Source organism: Homo sapiens, chromosome 4, assembly GCF_000001405.40.
Source record: "Homo sapiens chromosome 4, GRCh38.p14 Primary Assembly".
In the NCBI taxonomy this organism is placed as follows: Eukaryota; Metazoa; Chordata; class Mammalia; order Primates; family Hominidae; genus Homo; species Homo sapiens.
Genome location: NC_000004.12, coordinates 37,346,035 through 37,367,692, shown reverse-complemented (window position 1 = coordinate 37,367,692; position 21,658 = coordinate 37,346,035). Strand labels below are relative to the sequence as shown.

The 21,658-nt window shown below is 37.3% G+C and overlaps 1 protein-coding gene across 1 annotated transcript in view; it reads right to left on the bottom strand.

The window, feature by feature from the left end:
- The window catches only part of NWD2 (NACHT and WD repeat domain containing 2), a 204,721-nt gene that overhangs the window by 81,771 nt on the left and 101,292 nt on the right, over window positions 1-21,658 (bottom strand). The window contains exon 3 of the mRNA NM_001144990.2: window positions 11,211-11,327. Within this exon, the coding sequence (NP_001138462.1) occupies window positions 11,211-11,327 (117 nt within the window). The remainder of the gene's footprint in view (window positions 1-11,210; window positions 11,328-21,658) is intronic.

Below are 21,658 nucleotides of genomic sequence, written 5' to 3'. Positions count from 1 at the left end.
TCCCTTCACTTCTTTGGGTTTCAATTTTACCTGTGTGTAATCAGGATTTTTAACTATTTAGTTACTAGATTATCTTAAGGCTCTTTCCAGCTCTGAAATCCTATCATCCGTTTATCCTTAGAGGAACAAGTAGCACTGATAATTTGTAGAAGCGTTTTAAAAGCTGTTATACTCTGATGAATATTGCCCTTTTCTTCCAATTGCCTTGGGTCTAATTCTCCTTTTTTTTCTATCCTCTTGACAGATTGACACTTAAATCATTAATTTTCAAATTCTCATCTTTTCTAATTATATGAATTTCAAATAATGGATTTCTGTTTTTTCTAAGCATTGAAAAAATAGAAATCCATAATTTGAAATTTGTATCATTAGCTGAATCCACAAGTTTTGACACAGTTTTCATGTTAGTGCAGTTCAAAATATTTTTAGATTTCCCTTGTGATTTTTCTACTTTGACCCATAGTTTATTTAGAACGGTGTTAACTTTCACACATTTAGACATGTTTAGTCATCTTTCAGTTATTTTTCAGTTTTTAATTCCACCGAGGTCAGAGCACAAGTTTAGTATGATTTCAACCCTTTGAAATTTGTTGAGACTTGTGTTGTTACCCATCATATGGATGGATCATCCTTTGCACTTTAGCAAATGTTCTGTGAATTGAAAAAAGGTATATTTTGCAGTTATTGAATGTGGCATTCTATAAATGTTAATTAGGTCATGTTATAAATCATGTTATTCAAATCTACATACTTACGGATTTGTTTTCTACTTCTCTTAGATACCGAAAGATGTTTGTAAATATCTCCAATTATGACTGTAGATTTGTCTATTTCTCCTTTTAGTCAAGATTTTTATATTTTGAAGCCATGTTATTAGGTGCATAGAAATATAGAAATATTACATTTTTCTGTTGAATTGAACCTTTTATCATTATGAAACATCCTACTTTATCTTAACTTAAAACCTACTATATGATATTGATGTAATTTTCTTTTGGTTAATCTTTCCATGGCATATATATCTATATCTAGATATACATACTTTTATCATTTTACTCTCAGCCGATTTATGCCCTTTCCTTTAAAGAGAACTCTTGAAAACCGCATACAGTTGAACCTGTATTTAATAGGAAGATTTAGATTATTTACAGTGAATAAAATAGTTGTGTTATCTTTCTGCTTGTTTCATCTATTCTTTAGTCTTCCTTTTAAAATTAGTCATAGTTTCTTGATTCCTTGCATGTCTTGTAATTTTCATGGTATTCTGAACTTCATTTTTAAAATAATGGTTATTTAGGGGTTCCTTTCCTATGTTAGACTGATAGGGCAATGGGAGGCTTATCACATTCCCATTAGTAACTGAACTGGGCCGCGGCTCGGTTGCAGTTTTAGATTCTGCTTACTTTGAATTAAAATGCCTCAAAGGCAACACCAGTTAGATGTTTGTGCTACATTCTAGTGGACTTTGTCTCCTGTACACCAAGATATTATTGGAGACTTTATTCTGCCTTTCCATCCCAGCTTCCTAACCTCCCATGTTGCTCAATGTTCAGCATTGAGCATTCATGGAGAAAACTCCCAGTGATTTGGGGGTTCCTCTATCTGTAAAGCCAGCTTACCAAGAAATGACTCATTTCCTTCTGGAAATTGAGTGTGTCTAATCACATTTGTCTCCACAGCCCTACTGTCTTTTTAAAAACATGATGTTTACATTTTACCTTTTTAAAAAGTTGTTGCTGGCCTACTTAGAAGTCCTTTGGACTACAGCTATAAAAGTGAACATTTTTCTTTACCAATTAAATTATAAAGAGACTGAGTACTCTCCCGTCCACTTTTTCTCCATAATTCTTTTTATCATAAAAAAATGCTTTCTTACACCAACTAAGCTTAAGCTATAGAAATAGCTTATATGTTAGTAAAAGTTTACTGTGGAAATACTTAATATATTAGCAATAATTATTTCAACGGCCCTCTTGGCTTTCACCAGACAATTAAATACTGTTGAGAAGAAAGCTAATTTTCCATGTTTGTCCATTCTAAAGCTCTTTTGGTGATATCAAGTCACTAATTATTGAAACCTATTTCAGAGCTATGATAACTAGTTGATTTCAACTGGACAAACATTTTTATAAGTAAAGAAATATTTGTTTCTCTGGACTATATGAGCAAAATACCTGGAAAATCTGAGGCTTTAGATTTTTATTTAAATAAAATTTGTAAGAAAGATCTTTTTAAGCTAGACTGTTTAATTTAGATGACTTTCCAGTTCAAATCAATGACTGTTTTCTCATTTTAAAATACATTTTGGTTGGTAGAACTGTACTTATAAAGGTTAGAACTAAATGATACAAACCCCCCTGCACTTTAAAATATGAATGAAAATTAAGTACTTATTTAAATTTTTCATGTGTGTATTTTGTTTTGTATACCTAAAATGATAAAGCAAACATACTGGAATATGGATAAATGTGAAATATTTTCCAAAGCTAAGTGATTTTAAAAATACTGTAATTATTTCAAATGATTTAAGAAATCTCATCATATAGTTTTCTTTTACTAAAAATTATTTAAAGAAACTAAACTGTAAGGAGACATAATTTAACCTGAAGGAGAGTGATGAGAAGGTGAGAAGGAACTGACCTATATGCTATAAGTTTGAGAGTAACTCAGTGATATACAAAAATAGAATGTTAGTCTTTGTCAGTTACAGCTACACACTTTGTCTTGTCTTTACTCTTCTGCCTAGTGAAAAAACAAACTTGCTGAATAACAACAGATTTCACAGTTCAATCCCTTAAGTTGTCATATTTTTGGTTTAAAATATGGCCCCGTTCAAAATGTAGCTCTCTGGGCTTCTTTCTTCTTACTTTGTGCATACTGGGCTTAGGGTCCACTGCCAGGAGCTGCCTGTGGTGGGTATGAGCATGACCCATTCTCTGTTCCCTGCTAGCTGTGCCACTGATGGCAGTGTGTGTGTGTGTGTGTGTGTGTGTGTGTGTGTAAGTGGAGGTAGAAGTCTGCTCTGACATCTGCTTATACTCAAGCAACAATGGTGATATGCCCATTCTTTTGGTCTCTGCTGCTTCTTTACTCAATGCTGACAGATTGTGTTTGTTTATATATGTGTGTAATCTCACAGCCCCGATGAGGATGCTACATGGGTGTTGGTTCACTGAGAGCTCAGGGAGTTGACAAGGCATACTACTGCAGGCAAGATTCCTCTTGCCTGCTGTATGGGAACACCCCTCTAAATGTGAAGTCACAGAAGAACCTCTTACCTGCCTCCATTGGTGGTAATGGTGCTCCTCTCATCGCATGCGTGGTATCAGGCTTGGCTCTTCTAGGGTCACCTGCCAATGCTTCTCCCACAGCAAATTTCCACCTCATCCACACTACGGATTGAGGAACTGTAGTGAGATGCTATGAGCATCCTCCAGGGATGCCACACACATGGTGGAGTGGGGACGGATTCTCCAATACTGTAACTAAGCTTTTCAAACTCTAGTTGCTCAAGACAGCAGAGTGTAAGTTGTCTACTTTTGTTTGTTTGTTTTTGAGACAGAGTCTCGCTCTGTAGCCCAGGCTGGAATGCAGTGGTGTGATCTTGGCTCACTGCAACCTCCGCCTCCTGGATCCTGGTTCAAGCAATTCTCCTGCCTCAGCCTCCCGAGTAGCTGGGATTACAGGCATGCACCACCATTCCCAGCTAATTTTTTTTTTTTTTGTATTTTTAGTAGAAAAGGGGGTTTCACCACGTTGGCCAGGCTGGTCTTGAACTCCTGACCTCATGATCCACCCGCCTTGGCCTCCCAAAGTGCTGGGATTACAGGCCTGAGCCACTGCGCCCGGCCGTCTGCTTTTTTATATATAATTTCAACTTTTATTTTAGATTCAGGGCATACATACGCAGGTTTGTTACCTGGCTGTATTGCATGATGCTGAGGTTTGGGATACGACTGATCCCATCACCCAGGTGCTCAGCATAGTACCCAATAGTTTTCAACCCTTGCCCCCTCCCTCATTCTCTGTGCCACTGATGGCAGCATGTGTGTGTGGCTGAGTAGTCCCCAGTTTCTATTGTTGCCAGCTTTATGTCCATGAGTACCCAATTTTTGGTTCCCACTTGTAAGTGAGAACATGTGGTATTTGGTTTTCTGTTCCTGAGTTAATCCACTTAGGAAAATAGCATCCAGCTTCATCCATGTTGCTACAAAGAACATAATTTCTTGCTTTTCTATGGCTGTGTAGTATTCCATGGTGTTTATGTACCATATTTTCTTTATCCAATCCACTAGACGTGGACACCTAGATTCTTTGCTATTGTGCTGTGATGAACATGTGAGTACATGTGTCTTTTTGGTAGAAAGACTTATTTTCTTTTGGATATATACCCAGTCATGATATTGCTGAGTTGAATGGTAGTTCTCAGTTCTTTCAGAAATCTCCAAACTGCTTTTGACACAGTGGCTGAACTAATTTACATTTCCACCGACAATGTATAATCTTTCCCTTTTCCCTACAGCCTCACCAGCATCTGTTGTTTTTTGAGTTTTCAATAATAGTCATCCCTACTAGTGTGAGATGATATCTCATTGTGGTTTTGATTTGCATTCCTCTGATGATTAGTGTTGATAAGCATTTTTTTCATACGTTTGTGGGACACTTGTATGTCTTCTTTTGAGAAGTGTCTGTTTATATCTTTTGCCCATTTTTAATGGTCTTTTTTGCTTCTTCCATTGTTTAAGTTCCTTACAGATTCTAGATATTAGACATTGGTCAGATGCATAGTTTTTGAACATTTTCTCCCATTCTGTACATTGTCTGTTCACTCTGCTGATAGTTTCTTTTGCTTCGCAGAAGCTGTTTAGTTTTATTAGGTACCACTTGTCAATTTTTGTTTTTGCTGCAGTTGTTTTTGAGGACTTACTAATAAATTATTTCCCAAGGCCGATGTCCAGAATATTTCCTAGGTTTTCTTCTGGGATTACTACAGTTTGAGGTCTTACATTTAAACCTTTAATCCATCTTAATTTTTGTGTATGGTGAAGGATAGGGGTCCAATTTCATTCTCCTCCATATGGCTAGACAGCTATCCCAATATAATTTATTAAACAGAAAATCTTTCCCCATTGCTTATTTGTGTCAACTTTGTCAAAGGTCAGATGGCTGTAGGTGTGCAGCTTTATTTCTGGGTTCTCCATTTTGTTCCATTTGTCTATGTGTCCGTTTTTGTACCAGCACCATGCTGTTTGGGTTACTGTAGCCTTATAGCATAGTTTGAAGTTGGGTAATGTGGTGATGCCTCCAGCTTTGTTCTTTTTGGTTAGCTTTGTTTTGGCTATTCACACTCTTTTTTGGTTCCATATAAGTTTTAGAATAGTTTTTTCTAGTTCTGTGAAAAATGACGTTGGTAGTTTGATAGAAATAGCATTAAATATATAGATTGCTTTGGGCAGAATGAACACTTTAATGAATTGATTCTTCCAATCCAGAGCATGGAATGTTTTTCCATTTGTTTGCGTCATCTGTGATTTCTTTTGGCAGTGTTTTGTAGTTCTCTTTGTAGATATCTTTCACTTCCTTGGTTAGATGTGGTCCTAGGTATTTTAATTTTTTTGTGGCTATTGTAAATAGAATTGCTTTCTTGATTTGGCTTTCAGCTTGAACGTTATGGGTGTATAGAAATGTTACTTATTTTTGTACATAGATTTTGTATCCTGAAACTGAAGTTGTTTATCAGTTATGGGAGCCCTTTGGAAGAGTCTTTATGATTTCCTAGGTATAGAATCACATCATACATGGAGAGAGACAGTTTCACTTCTTCTTTTCCTATTTGGATGCCTTTTATTTCTTTCTCTTGCCTGATTTCTCTAGCTAGCACTTCCAGTACTGTGTTGAATAGGAGTGGTGAGAGTGGGTATTCTTATGTTCTTCCAGTCCTCAAGGGGAATGCTTCCAGTTCTTGCCCCTTCAGCATGATGTTGGTTGTGGGTTTGTCATAGATGGCTCTTATTATTTTGAGGTATATTCCTTCGATGCCTTGTTTACTGAGGGTTATCAAGAAGGAATGTTTATCAAAAGCTTTTTCCATGTCTATGGAGATGATCATATGGTTTTTAACTCTGTTTATGTGGGTGTGTCACATTTATTGGTTTGCATATGTTGAACCAACCTTGCATCCCAGAAATCAAATCTACTTGATTATGGTGACTTAACTTTTTGATGCGCTGTTGGATCTGGTTTGCTAGCATTTTGTTGAGGTTTTTTTGCATCTATGTTCACCAGGAATATTTGCCTGTAGTTTTCTTTTTTCATTGTGTTTTTGCCAGGTTTTGTCTTTTGCCAGGTATCAGGGTGATGCTGGTTTTTAAGAATGAGTTGGGGAGCAGTCCCTTCCCCTTAAGTTTTTGGAATAGTTTCACTATAATAGGTATCAGCTCTGCTTTGCATATCTGGTGGAATTTGTCTGTGAATGTATCTGGTTCCGGGCTTTTTTTGGTTGGTAGGTTTATTACTGATTCAGTTTTGGACCTCAATACTGGTTGCTTAGGGTTTCAGTTTCTTCCTTGTTCAATATTGGGAGGTTGTGTTTCCAGGAATTTTTCCATTTCCTCTAGATTTTCTAGTTTGTGTGCATAGATGTGTTCATAATAGTCCCTGAGGATCTTTTGTATAGTCCCTGAGGATCTTTTGTATTTCTGTGGGATCAGTTATAACGTCACCTTTGTTGTTTCTGATTGAAGTCACCTACTTCTATCAACTCTGCCAAGAGGCAGGCCTGTATTCAGGGTCCAGGATCAATGCTCAAACTCTGTAAGCAATTCTTTTGGGTACTCCACATTTGGAGGGATGACAAGAAGAAAACCCCCTCTTCCCTATAAATATGCAGCATGGAGAAGGATGGGGATGAGATAATGAGAGAATTAGCATCATATGACCTCTGCTCTCTCCAAAAGGCCGTATTCCTCTCCCTCTACAAAAGGATTTTCTATGGACTAGGGAATGCGACAAGTAGGTGGGGGAGATTTTGTTGACCTTTCCACACTTTGCAAAGCCTGCAGCAATTTTTTACACCTAAAAGGTGATGAAGATGATTTTGTTACTCAGCTGTGATTTGTCTCCCTGCTAGGGGCTGCCTTGGTCAGAATCCCTCCTTGGGGATAGGTAAAGCTTTTAGTCAGTAAATGTCAGCAAATTCATATCTAGAAAAACAAAATATATATGTACCATATGCATTTTACAAATATTACATTTTATTAATATACACATAAGAATGAATTAAAATCCTTTAACATTTGACTGAATGAAGCCTTGATACTTTTTACATTTAGATTATCAGCATTTTTAAGGGGAAAAATTATAATAGCACATAAATGCCTAATATAAATGAAAACTTTTTATTCTTATTTGAAAATAAATTACATTTTAAGTTATTTGGTCTAAAATTACTGGTTGTTAGCCTTTTATGGGTTTACAAAGAACTCATACATATATTATCACATTTGGTCCCCACAACAATCCTTTGAAATTGATTCAAAATTTACTTTTAGTTTATTGTTATTATTTTCCCATATTTATAGATGTGATCACTAAAGTACAATTAAGTTAGTGACTTGTTCCCTGAGAACCAGGGCTCTCGCTTGATTGTAAAATGAAAATTCTGGGCTCTTCCCACTGTACTTGCCTCTCTCTACACATGTATTCAAATGTTGTTCTTCTCAGTAAGATGATGTATGCTTTACAATGTTTCCCAAGCTAGTCCTCTGAGAGCAGGACCAGACACATGTCCAGGCTCCCTCACTCTAGCACCTTCATCTCTTCATGGACAAAAACATGTGTGTAAAACAGCTGTCCAGAATTACAGCACAGCTTGCATGTCAGTGGAACCTTGGGCCATTATCTAAATGACAACTTATAGGAAATGAAGTCGAAAAAGGCCAAGCACGAACTATACTGAAGACTAAAGTTCCCTTTGGAACTCAATTCCCTGGGTGTTTAAAAGGAAAGCTTCATCTGGTCCTTAATTTATTTGGACCTAACATAAAGGCTAAAGACTGTGAAGCCTTTGAAGATATAAAAACTTTTTTTTTTTTCATTCAGCAGTGGTGAATTTCCTTGCCAAAGACTTCAGCATTAGGGGAAGTATTATGTTAAGCTCTGCATCCCACAGGGGTCATCATGACTTCTAGAAATATCCACAAGGGAGCACTGGGCGAGGAAACTGGAGCTTAAAAGTAACACACACATGCCAGTTGTCACCGTAGTTACAACAGGAAAGGCCCTAAGAGGAGTACTTTTTTTTTCTTTTTCTATAAGCTGTGAGATACAAGCCTTGTGTGATTTAGGATCGCTGGGGTGAATAATCCTAGCTCTATCTGCAGGGTTTTATCGTGGTTTCCCTGAGTTTAAACATGTAACAGGGGAGCAGAAGGAGGGATAAATGATTTGTTTATGCTCAATAAAGATGTTGCTGCTGTTCTGTCAGCTAACCTTTGCTCTCATAACCTGCATAAACTTGCAAAGTCTTTATTTATTCTCCTACCAGCAAATTATTGGAATTCATAGTCATGTCTAATTTTAGTTAGCTTAGGGATGGCACTCAACAGGGTTATAAAAGGGGGAGAACATCTCTCTCATTCCTGAATTTCCAAGGCTGGATTACGGTAAAGCTGTGGAGATCACAGTAATTGAGGTTTCCCAGGACACTCCCATAGTGGGTTATGCTTCCCAAATCTGGCTTTCTAAGCATAATGGAATCTGGCCTAACCTGTCTTCCAATATTTGAGTCTCTTCTATAGCACCCCTGTCACAGTGGTTTGTGTTCTTCACTTTGATAAAAACTTTTTTGGGGATGCATCATTACAGTTTGAGCCAGGTGATTTCATCTTCAGGCAGCTGTGATAGATAATAATACACAATAAGAAACAACGAACACTTTTTAATGGATTACTATGTGTGAAATACTATAAAACTGCCTGTAATTTCATTTGATTCTCAGAATGACCCGATGAGGTAGATAACTGTTATTATCACTTCCATTTTACAGACAAAAAACTGAGGCTTAGAATAGTGGAGCAACTCCTGCAGTGCCACACAGCTATGAAATATCAGGTCAGAACCCAGGGATACTGGATCCAAAAACCTGAGAGGAAGCTATATATCCTTTAACTTCTTCACCCAAAGCTGAAATCTGCTTCCTAGTTCTATCCTCCAATGACCCAAGGAAAAGAATCTCTTCCGCTACTTGCTCTTCAGATATTTAACACAACTTTCAGGCCTTCTTTTGCATTCTTTTCAGGCCACAGGACACTGTTTTTCGGTGTTCGTTCCCCCAACCCCCCCAAACCACGTATTTTTCTCATTTGGCTTATTGCAGTAGCTCTCTAAAGGTCTGCCTGCTCTGTTCCCTATTCTTCACCCAGCAGCCAAGGCCATGCTTAAAATACAAGTCAAATCACTTCATTCCTCTGCTCAGAACACTTCTGCAGTTTTTCCTGTCACTCGAGGTAAAACCTTAAGTCAACTTGAAGATTACAGAATTGAATTGTCTTACTGAAATTACCTTTCCAAAATCGATGGTTCCCAATTATGCTGAGCCATAACAATAGTCTTCTTAGTCTTAAAAATAAAAATATTCTCTTAATCATAAAAGATGAAAAGGCCCCATGATACGTTCCCCATATCCCATGCCCTCCTCCCTATTCATACTTGTTCTAGGCACAGAGGCCTGCTTGCTGTTTCCTGAACATGCCAACCCCTCTTCCTGGAATACCTGACTTGGAATATCCACACCTGGTTCTTTCCTGCCCCTCTTTCCATCTCCCCTTCAGAGTCACCTTATCAGTGAGGCCTCCTCTGACTGTTTTATCTTAAGTAGCAAATCTCTCCCCTCGCTGGTATTCTCTCTTTTCTTTCATTTCTCTATTTTTCTCCATAGCACTTATCACCAACTGACTTACTGTTTATCTTACTTATTTGGGTTTTGCCTGCCCTCTCCCCCTTCCACCCACATTAGAATGTAAGCTCCGGGAAAGCAAAAAATTTTATCTTCTTAGTTCAATTCTAAGGTTGAATCCTAAGGAACTGGCCCACAAAATAACAATTTCGTATGGGTCAACCTACCACACCCCCAGCACCTAAGAGCAACCCTTGGCACACGGTAGCACTCAGGCAGTTAGTGAGTAATCAACTTATCTATATATGGAATACTACAAATACTATATGATACAGCCTTTATACACTTTACTAGCCTGGGTAAGAAATTTACCATCAGCTGGTCAGATTTGTGATATCATCTCTGTAGGTCTTCCTAATCCTATGCGGAGCCAAATATAGACGGATATGCAAATAAATATTAAGAACACTTTTGCTGATATATTGAATCTAGTTTTTAACAGTACGGTGTGATTTTTTTTCATAGCACTCACTGGTAATTTTAACACTCGTCTGTCAGTCTTAGAGCAACCTATGTTCAAAGGGGCAACTTCCCTTATCGATTGGTAGGATCTGTTTGAATTCAAGGTAAGTCTTTCTTAAGCTAAATTAAGGCAGTGATTTTTGCACAACCACCTGCCATAGAATGACCTATTTATCTTACTGCCACCGTGCTAACACAGAGGAGTGAGTATTCTTTAGAAAATAACGATGAATTAATAATAATGTTCCACTTGGAATATCTCTGTCGATCTTTAGCTTATAATGAACATGTAGCTGAAAATCACTGTAGAAACAAACATTTTCACAGGGCACCATTTGCTACTGGCAGATGAGACATAGTATATTTGATTTACTTTAACAATGTTTCAGCCATTTTGTTAAAAAATGCCAGAAATTCTAGCGTTAAGAACTAGAAGCACTATGATGGAATATATTATACAATAAGATAAGAAAACCTAGGATAATTATTGTAGGTCTGAAAGAGTAATCCTTATTGTTGATCACAAGGTGTTGTAGAAATTGTTGTCAAACCCAAGTCAATCCCTTTGATTACCAGTTCAAATTATTCACCGTTAATTGGCAGCACTTCTTATGGAAAGTTGAAGCTTTTTGTTCTCATACATTGAGAGCCAGGAGACAGCTTAAAATGTTTAAATAGACATAAAAAAGTCTTTTTCCCCCTCATTTAAAAAACCCCTTATGAATCACAAATCAGCAATAATTCTCACATTCATCTAAAAGTTAATATAAAGCATTAGTTTTTTTATACCCACAACAAAACATGGACCTGCAGAAGTTTTCAAGCAATTCTCCAGCAGCTTCATGCGGGTCTTCTGGAGCTCTGGGCTGTCCCACTCATCTTCTTCCACTCCCCAGTACAGATCTATGACCTGGGGACAGATGGATGAAGAGCATTAGTTTACATGTGGGCTTTGTTTTTATTTACAATGTCAAGCTAATGTGACTTTTAACTTTTCTCTTTGCAGCATGTTTTCTCTTACAGAGGGGAAGTGATTTTTAAGATCCATTTAGAGAGATTTTTCATTCCATGATGGGTTGGGAATGAACCTTATAATTTCTTCTTTTGTTTCTGATTATACTGCTGACATGGGCCCAGAGAAAATGAAATGCTAACTGTTGAAGGTTTTGGAGCACGGGCTTTTGTTGTCTTGAAATGGAAACAGAATTTTAAGGTTTGAAGCAGCTGGCATGATGTTACCATAGTACTTGAGACAATTAAATCACCAAATGTATATAATGTTACCATAAGTATTAATTTGAGAAAAGAAACCATAATGAATATTACTATACACTGATTTCAAGTCAAACACCTACATTTCTTAAAAAAAAAAAGCCCTGTCATTATCACACTCTATCATATGAGGAGAGATATTTTGCTTAAGTCTGTTTTATCTGTAAGCAGTTTGGCTTTCATCAATATATATCTGAAAAACATGTACGGGCAAAAAAATGAAAGGTATGCCTTACAGAAAAGTGAGGATAATAGGATCCTCTATCTCCCTACTTCAAAGACTACTAAGGAAGATTCTGGCAGTCTATAACAAACTTTCACAAGTTCACTCTTTGAAAAGTGCTATGGAGAGCATCATGGATTTCATTACCTTCACTCAGCTGCTGTCTGCATAAAGTAAATGTTCCCAGTTGTAGCTTTGAAAATTTCTTCTTTTCCTTTCCTTGCTTCCCACAAGTGGAAACAAGACCCTCCCTACTCTTTTCCTCCTGCTTGCACGGCATTTGGTGAGATGGAAGCTCACAGTATGAGTTTCCCCTTGTGGCCCCAGCAGATTCTGGAGACTTTGTGTGATTCCCATTTCTTGGCTATGGGCCCCCACAGATCTGGCTTGTTCCAGGTCTTTGTCTAAGTGCATTTGAGTGTTTTAGAAGGCTGATAAATAAATGACAGCTCTTTAAAAAATATTCTCATGGCCCATACCATGGGTTTTGTCATATATGAAAATATCAGCATTTTGATTTTGGGGGCTCTATGCTTTAATCTATCTTACAAAGTTTAATCACACAATACGAAGAAAGATGACATCAAAGAAGGTAACTTCATTATCCAATTTGAGAGCCTCTAGCTGGGGCTACTTAAAAGTAAATATAAATTAGTAAAAATTAAAAAATTCAGTTCCTCAAGTGCTCAGTAGCCCCATACTGGCTCTCATGTTGGACAAAGGAGATACAGAGTATTTCACATCATAATAAGTTCCACTGATCAGAGTTGTAAATTACTGAGCTTCAGAAGAGCACAGAAATCATCTAGTAATAAATGAATAAATAGGGCTATAAAATAGTCTAATTTGTTAAATAATGGACAGGCCATAATTTGCAAAGGGTCATGCTTCCAGAAAATGAAAAAGTAAAGAAAACATTTATGGCTTATCTGTTGTTAATCTTTCCAGGTGTTTTACATGCCACAGAGTACCTTTTGGTAAATTAATATCCTGCCACACTAGGATTTGTTTCTAATGTCTTAGAATACAAAAGATGAACTTTTCCATCTCACCACCCTTGGGAAGGATGTTCCCAGAGCTGCTGCAAATGCTGAGGAAGTGTCTCCCTCAGTGGAAGCAGAATCCCCTTCACATGCTACTCTGGCCTCCTGTCCTGAGAAGGACAATAATAGCCTTGGTTGAACAATGAGTTAAGAAAAGCTGGCAAGTAGACTGCCTCTCTAGGTTCCTCCTCTCTGGGCAGGGCATCTCTGAAAGACAGGCAGCAGCCCAGTCAGGGGCTTATAGATAAAACTCCCACCTCCCTGGGACAGAGTGCCTGGGGGAAGGGGCGGCAGTGGGCACAGCTTCGGCAGACTTAAACATTCCTGCCTATCGGCTCTGAAGAGAGCAGTGGATCTCCCAGCACAGCTCTCAAGCTCTGCTAAGGGACAGACTGCCTCCTCAAGTGGGTCCCTGACCCCCCATGCCTCCTGATTGGGAGACAGCTCCCAGCATGGGTCAACAGACATCTCATACAGGAGAGCTCTGGCTGTCATCTGGTGGGTGCCCCTCTGGGATGAAGCTTCCAGAGGAAGGAACAGGCAGCAATCTTTGCTGTTCTGCAGCCTCCGCTGGTGACACCCAGGCAAACAGAGTCTGGAGTGGATCTCCAGCAAACTCCAGGATACCTGCAGCAGAGGGTCCTGAGTGTTGGAAGGAAAACTAACAAACAGAAAGGAATAGCATCAACATCAACAAAAAGGATGTCCACACACCCCACCCTAAGGTCACCAGCATCAAAGAACAAAGGTAGATAAAGCCACAAAGATGAGAAAAAACCAGCGCAAAAAGGCTGAAAATTCCAAAAACTGAACGCCTCTTCTCCTCCAAAGGATCACAACTTCTTGCCAGCAAGGGAACAAAACTGGGCGGAGAATGAGTTTGATGAATTGACAGAAGTAGGCTTCGGAAGATGGGTAATAACAAACTCCACCAAGCTAAAGGAGCATGTTCCAACCCAATGCAAAAAAGCTAAGAACCTTGATAAAAAGTTACAGGAACTGCTAACTAGAATAACCAGTTTAGAGAAGAACATAAATGACCTGATGGAGCTGAAAAACACAGCATGAGAACTTCGTGAAGCATACACAAGTATCAATAGCTGAATCGATCAAGCAGAAGAAAGGATATCAGAGATTGAAGATCAACTTAATGAAATAAAGCATGAAGACAAGATTAGAGAAAAAAAATGAAAAGAAACAAACAAAGCTTCCAAGAAATATGGCACTATGTGAAAAGACCAAACCTAAGTTTGATTGGTGTATCTGAAAAGTGACAGGGAGAATAGAACCAAGTTGGAAAACACCCTTTAGGATATTATCCAGGAGAACTTCCCCAACCTAGTAAGACAGGCCAACATTCAAATTCAGGAAATCAGAGAACACCACACAGATACTCCTTGAGAAGAGAAACCCAAAGACACATAATCGTCAGATTCACCAAGGTTGAAATGAAGGAAAAAATGTTAGGGGCAGCCATAGAGAAAGGTTGGGAAAGGGAAGCCCATTAGACAAACAGTAAATCTCTCTGTAGAAACACTACAAGCCAGAAGAGAGTGGCGGCCAATATTCAACATTCTTAAAGAAAGAATTTTCAACCCAGAATTTCATATCCAGCCAAACTAACCTTCATAAGAAAGGAGAAATAAAATCCTTTACAAACAAGCAAATGCTGAGAGATTTTGTCACCATCAGGCCTGCCTTACAAGAGCCCCTGTAGGAAGCATTAAATATGGAAAGGAAAAACCAGTACAAGCCACTGTAAAAACATACCAAATTGTAAAGACGATTGACACTATGAAGAAACTGCATCAACTAATGGGCAAAATAACCAGCTAGCATCATAATGATAGGATGAAATTCACACATAACAATATTAACCTTAAATACAAATGGGCTAAATGCCCCAATTAAAAGACACAGGCTGGCAAATTGGATAAGGAGTCAAGACCCATCAGTGTGCTGTATTCAGGAGACCCATCTCATGTGCAAAGATATAGATAGGCTCAAAATAAAGGGATGGAGGAATATTTACCAAGCAAATGGAAAGCAAAAAGTAAAACCAATCCTAGTCTCTGATAAAACAGACTTTAAACCAACAAAGATCAAAATAGACAAAGAAGGGCATTACATAATGGTAAAGGGATCAATGCAACGAGAGCTAACTATCCTGAATATATATGCACCCAATACAGGAGCACCCAGATTCATAAAGCAAGTTCTTAGAGGCCTACAAAGAGACTCAGACTCCCACATAATAATAGCAGGAGACTTCAACACCCCTCTGTCAATATTAGACAGATGAATGAGACAGAAAATTAGCAAGAATATTCAGGACTTGAACTCAGCTCTGGACCAGGGGATATGCACCCAATTCAAGAGCACCAAGATTCATAAAGCAAGTTCTTAGAGGCCTACAAAGAGACTTAGACTCCCATATAATAATAGCGGGAGTCTTTAATATCCCTCTGTCAATATTAGACAGATGAACAAGACAGAAAATTAACAAGGATATTCAGGACTTGAACTCAGCTCTGGAACAGGGGACTTAATAGACACCTACAGAACTCTCCACCCCAAATCAACAGAATATACATTCTTCTCAGCACATCATCACACTTATTCTAAAATTGACCCCATAATTGGAAGTGAAACACTCCTCAGCAAATGCAAAAGAATGGAAATCATAACAAAATAGTCTCTCAGACCACAGTGCAATCAAATTAGAACTCAGGATTATGAAACTCACTCAAAACCGCACAACTATATGGAAACTGAACAAACTGCTCCTGAATGACTACTAGGTAAATAATGAAATGAAGGCAGAAATAAAGATGTTCTTTGAAACCAATGAGAATGAAGACACAACATACCAGAATCTCTGGGACATAGCTAAAGCAGTGTTTAGAGGGAAATTTATAGCACTAAAATGCCCACAGGAGAAAGCAGGAAAGATCTAAAATCGACACCCTAACATCACAAGTAAAAGAACTAGAGAAGGAAGAGCAAACGAATTCTAAAGCCAGCAGAAGACAAGAAATAACTAAGATCAGAGCAGAACTGAAGGAGATAGAGACAAGAAAAACTCTTAAAAAAATCAATGAATCCAGGAGCTGTTTTTTTGAAAAGATTAACAAAATTGATAGACTGCTAGCCAGATTAATAAAGAAGAAAAGACAGAACCAAATAGACACAATAACAAATGATAAAGGCGATATCAACATTGATCCCACAGAAATACAAACTACCATCAGAGAATACTATAAACACCTCTTTGCAAATAAATTAGAAAATCTAGAAGAAATGGATAAATTCCTGGACACATACAGCCTCCCAAGTCTAAACCAGGAAGAAGTTGAATCCCTCAATAGACCAATAACAAGTTCTGCAATTGAGGCAGTAATTAATAGCCTACGAGCCAAAAAAAGTCCAGGACCAGATGGATTCACAGCTGGATTCTACTGAGGGTACAAAGAGGAGCTGGCACCATTCCTTCTGAAACTATTCCAACAATAGAAAAAGAGGGAATCCTCCCTAACTTATTTTATAAGGCCAGCATCATTCTGATACCAAAACCTGGCAGAGACACAACAAAAAAAGAAAATTTCATGCCAATATCCCTGACAAACACTGATGCAAAAATCCTCAATAAAATACTGGCAAACTGAATCCAGCAGCACATCAAAAAGCTTATCCACCAAGATCAAGTCAGCTTCATCCCTGGGATGCAAGGCTGGTTCAACATACACAAATCAATTTAATCTATCACATAAACAGAACCAATGTCAAAAACCACATGATTATCTCAATACATGCAGAAAAGGCCTTCAATAAAATTCAACACCCCTTTATGCTAAAAACACTCAATAAACTAGGTATTGATGGAATGTATCTCAAAATAATGAGAGCTATTTATGACAAACCCACATTCAATATCATACTCAATGGGCAAAAACTGGAAACATTCTCTTTGAAAACTGGCACAAGACGAGGTTGCTCTTTTTCATCACTCCTATTCAACATAGCATTTGAAGTTCTGGCCAGGGCAATCAGGCAAAAGAAGGCAATAAAGGGTATTCAGATAAGAAGAGAGGAGGTCCAATTGTCTCTGTTTGCAGATGACATAATTGTATATTTAGAAAACTCCACCATCTCAGCCCAAAAACTCCTTAAGCTGATAAGCAACTTCAGCAAAGTCTCAGGATACAAAATCAATGTGCAAAAATCACAAGCATTCCTATACATCAATAATAGAGAAACAGAGAGCCAAATCATGAGTGAATTCCCATTCACAATAGCTACTAAGAGAATAAAATACCTAGAAATACAACTTACAAGGGATGTGAAAGACCTCTTCAAGGAGAACTACAAAATACTGCTCAAGGAAGTAAGAGAGGACACAAACAAATGGAAAACATCCCATGCTCATGGATAGGAAGAATCAATATCGTGAAAATAGCCATACTGTCCAAAGTAATTTATAGATTCAATGCTATCCCCATCAAGCTATCATTGACTTTCTTCACAGAATTAGGAAAAACTACTTTAAATTTCATATGCAACCAAAAGAAGAGCCCATATAAAGACAATCCTAAGTAAAAAGAACAAAGCCGGAGGCATTGCACTACCTGACTTCAAACTATACTACAAGGCTACGGTAATGAAAACAGCATGGTACTGGTACCAAAACAGATATATAGACCAATGGAACAGGAAAGAGGCCTCAGAAATAATGCCACATATCTACAATCATCTGATCTTTGACAAACATGACAAAAACAAGCAATGGGGAAAGGATTCCCTATTTAATAAATGGTGCTGGGAAAACTGGCTAGCCATATGCAGAAAACTGAAACTGGATCCCTTCCTTATAACTTATATAAAAATTAACTCAAGATGTATTAAAGACTTAAATGTAAGACCTAAAACCATAAGAACTCTAGAATAAAACCTAGCCAATACCATTCAGGTCATAGGCATGGGCAAAGACTTCATGACTAAAACACCAAAAGCAATGGCAACAAAAGCCAAAATTGACAAATAGGATCTAATTAAACTGAAGAGCTTCTGCACAGCAAAAGAAACTATCATCAGAGTGAACAGGCAACCTACAGAATAGGAGAAAGTTTTTGCAATCTATCCATCTGACAAAGGTCTAATATCCAGCATCCATAAGGAACTTAAACAAATTTACAAGATAAAAAACAAACAACCCAATCAAAAAGTGGGCAAAGGATATGAACAGACACTTTTCAAAAAAGAAGACATTTATGCAGCCCACAAACATGAAAAAACAGCTCATGATCACTGGTCATTAGAGAAGTGCAAATCAGAACCACAATGAGATACCATCTCATGCCAGTTAGAATGGTGATCATCAAAAACTCAGGAAACAAAAGATGCTGGAGAGGATGTGGAAAAGTCAGAACGCTTTCACGCTGTTGGTGGGAGTGTAAATTAGCTTGACCACTGTGGAAGACAGTGTGGCGATTCCTCAAGGATCTAGAAACAGAAATACCATTTGACCCAGTGATCCCATTACTGGGTATATAACCAAAGGATTATAAATCATTCTACTGTAAAAACACATGCACACATATGTTTATTGTGGTAGTATTCACAATAGCAAAGACTTGGAACCAACCCGAATGCCCATCAGTGATAGACTGGATAAAGAAAATGTGGCACATATATACCATGGAATACTATTCAGCCATAAAAAAGGATGAGTTCATGTCCTCTGCAGGGACATGGATGAAGCTGGAAACCATCATTCTCAGCAAACTTACACAGGAACAGAAAACCAAACACGACATGTCTCACTCATAAGTGGGAGTTTAACAATGAGAACACATGCACACAGGGAGGGGAACATCACACACAGGGGCCTGTTGTGGGGTGGGGTACTAGGGGAGGGATAGCATTAGGAGAAATACCTAATGTAGATGACGGGTCGATGGGTGCAGCAAACCACCATGGCACGTGTATACCTATGTAACAAACCTGCATGTTCTGCACATGTATCTCAGAACTTAAAGTGTGTGTGTGTGTGTGTGTGTGTGTGTATATATATATATATATATATATATATATATATATATATGAATTAACCACAGGCAAGGATCTTAAAATTCAACAAAAAAAAAAAAAAAAAAAAAAGAAAAAGGAAAAAGAAAAGTTGGCAAGTGTGAGAAGGGATGGCTTCACTGGTTGGTCATGGCCTGGAATTCACTGGGCTTTACCCATGGGTGTGGTCACCATGTCAAGGTCAGTCCCCAAGGGTGGTAGGGCCTCATGTCTTCTCTGCCAGTTTTTTGATCCATGCCTCTGGGACAGAAGGAGAGCAAGAATCAGGGCAGGTTCTGCTCTGTGATGTTTGTGTGGCTTGTCCGTGGAGGAGGTGATTTATGTGGGAAAACTAAATGGCTGAGGCCATTAGTATGTTAAAGAACTTGTTAAATGTTGAATGTTAACGAACTTGTTAACAGTTGAATATTAAAGAACTAGGCTTGTTTAGAGTTAGCCAACTAGAATTCAACTTACTCTTATTTTCTGGTTCTCTTCAGACTGGGTTGAGACCAGAGCATCACACAGCTTCTTAGTTCGAGATCCTTATGGGACTGCCACTAGGGATCATACTCCATTTTTGTATGATTTTAAAAAGCACTTGTTCCTCTAGTCACTTTACTTCTAGCTACCAGAAAATTGTGATAACATACTGAAATCATAATTGTTACAACATACTGAAATCATTAAATCATTATAAGACCATATGCCAATAACTTATCAAAATAAATATACAAATCCACTGCAATGTGTATGGCACCCTTTAGTTGTGCCATGCACAAACCAAGAACTATACACATAATCTCGTCTCGATTCTTTTGGCTGACACCATTTGGATGTGGTTGAGGAAGGTCTTATTTAGAGCAAATAAAAAATGGTAAATATGAAGGTTAATTTAAGAAAAGCTATAAATATATACTTGCTCTTCTCTGATCTTCTTTAAATGTCATACAATTATATAAAGTAATAATTATAACAGTATGCCATTGAATTTGTAACATACCTAGCTGTAACAGGGATAACAATAATAGCACAAAAGGGAGGAAAAGGAAATAGAGCAATATAGGAATAATCTTTCTACAGTTCACTAGAATTAAATTGGTATAAATTGTAAACAGATCAGATGGTTGTAGATGTGTGGCATTATTAAATTGGTATAAACTGTATAATTTTAATAAATTAAATTGGTATAAATTGTATAATTTAATTGGTATAAATTAAATTGGTATAAACTGTAAACAGATCAGATGGTTGTAGATGTGTGGAGACTTAAATATCCTACATTCAATAAAGGGAGGAACAACTGGTAAGAAGATATAAAATTAGAAGACTTGACAATACTATAAACAAATTAGAACATATGTCTATGAAATAATCTACCTAGAAACAGCAGAATTTATTTTTCTCAGGCACACATAGGACCTTCTCCAGGAGGAATACATATTAGTTCATAAAACAAGCTTCAATAAATCTAAATAAATTCATATCATACAAAGTATGTTCTCTGAATATGGTGGAATAAAATTATAAATCAATCATACAAAAAAATTTAGGAAATTTACAAATTTGTGGAAACCAATATACTCCTAAATAGTCAATGAGAAAGAAGTCAAAAGGGAAATGAAAGGGATACTTTGAGATGAATGAAAATAAAGGTACAATATACTAAAATTTATAGGATGCAGCTAAAGTAGTACTGAGAGGAAAATTTCTAGCTATAAACTATAAATGAACTAATCAATGAATTGGGTAAGGTTGTAGGGTGCAAGATCAATATACAAAAACCTATTTCTATACACTAGCAATGAAAAAATCTGATGAAATTAAATAACAATTCAATTTAAAAGAGCATCAGAAAGAAACAATTCAATTTAAAAGAGCACCAGAAAGAAACACTTTCATTCATAAGATCACTAAGAAAACTTAGGAATAAATTTAACAAAAGAAATGCAAGATTTATACTTTGAAAACTACAGAAAAATTGTCGAAAGAAATTAAAGAAGATATAAATAAATGAAAGACATTCCATGTTCATAGATTGGGAGACTTAATATTGTTAGGATGGCAATACTCCCCAAATTAACCTACAGATTCAATCCAATCACTATAAATCCCCTAGTTGGTTTATTTGCAGAAATTGACAAGCTAATCCTAAAGTTCATATGGAAATTCAAAAAACCCAAGATGACCAAAACAATCTTACAAAAGAAGAATAAAGTTGAAGAACTCACACTTCTGGATTTCAAACTTACTACAAAACCACAATAATTAAGACAGTATAGTGCTGGCATAAGGATAGACATAGTAATCAATGGAATAAAATAGAGAATCCAGAAATAAATCTTCACACATAAGGTCAACTGATTTTCAATAAGGGTACTAAAACAATTCAATGTCACATCCATAACCTTTTTGACAAATGGTGTTGGGGCAACTGGAATATTCACATGCAAAAGAATGAAGCTTAGCCCCTACCTCACACCGTGTAAAATTAATTAACTCAACAGAGATCATAGGCATAAATTTGAGAGTCAAAACTATTAAACTCCTAAGGGAAAAACATAGGAGTAGTAGGTTTTTTTTTTTTTTTTTTGAGACAGAGTATCCCTCTGCTGCCCAGGCTGGAGTGCAGTGGCATGA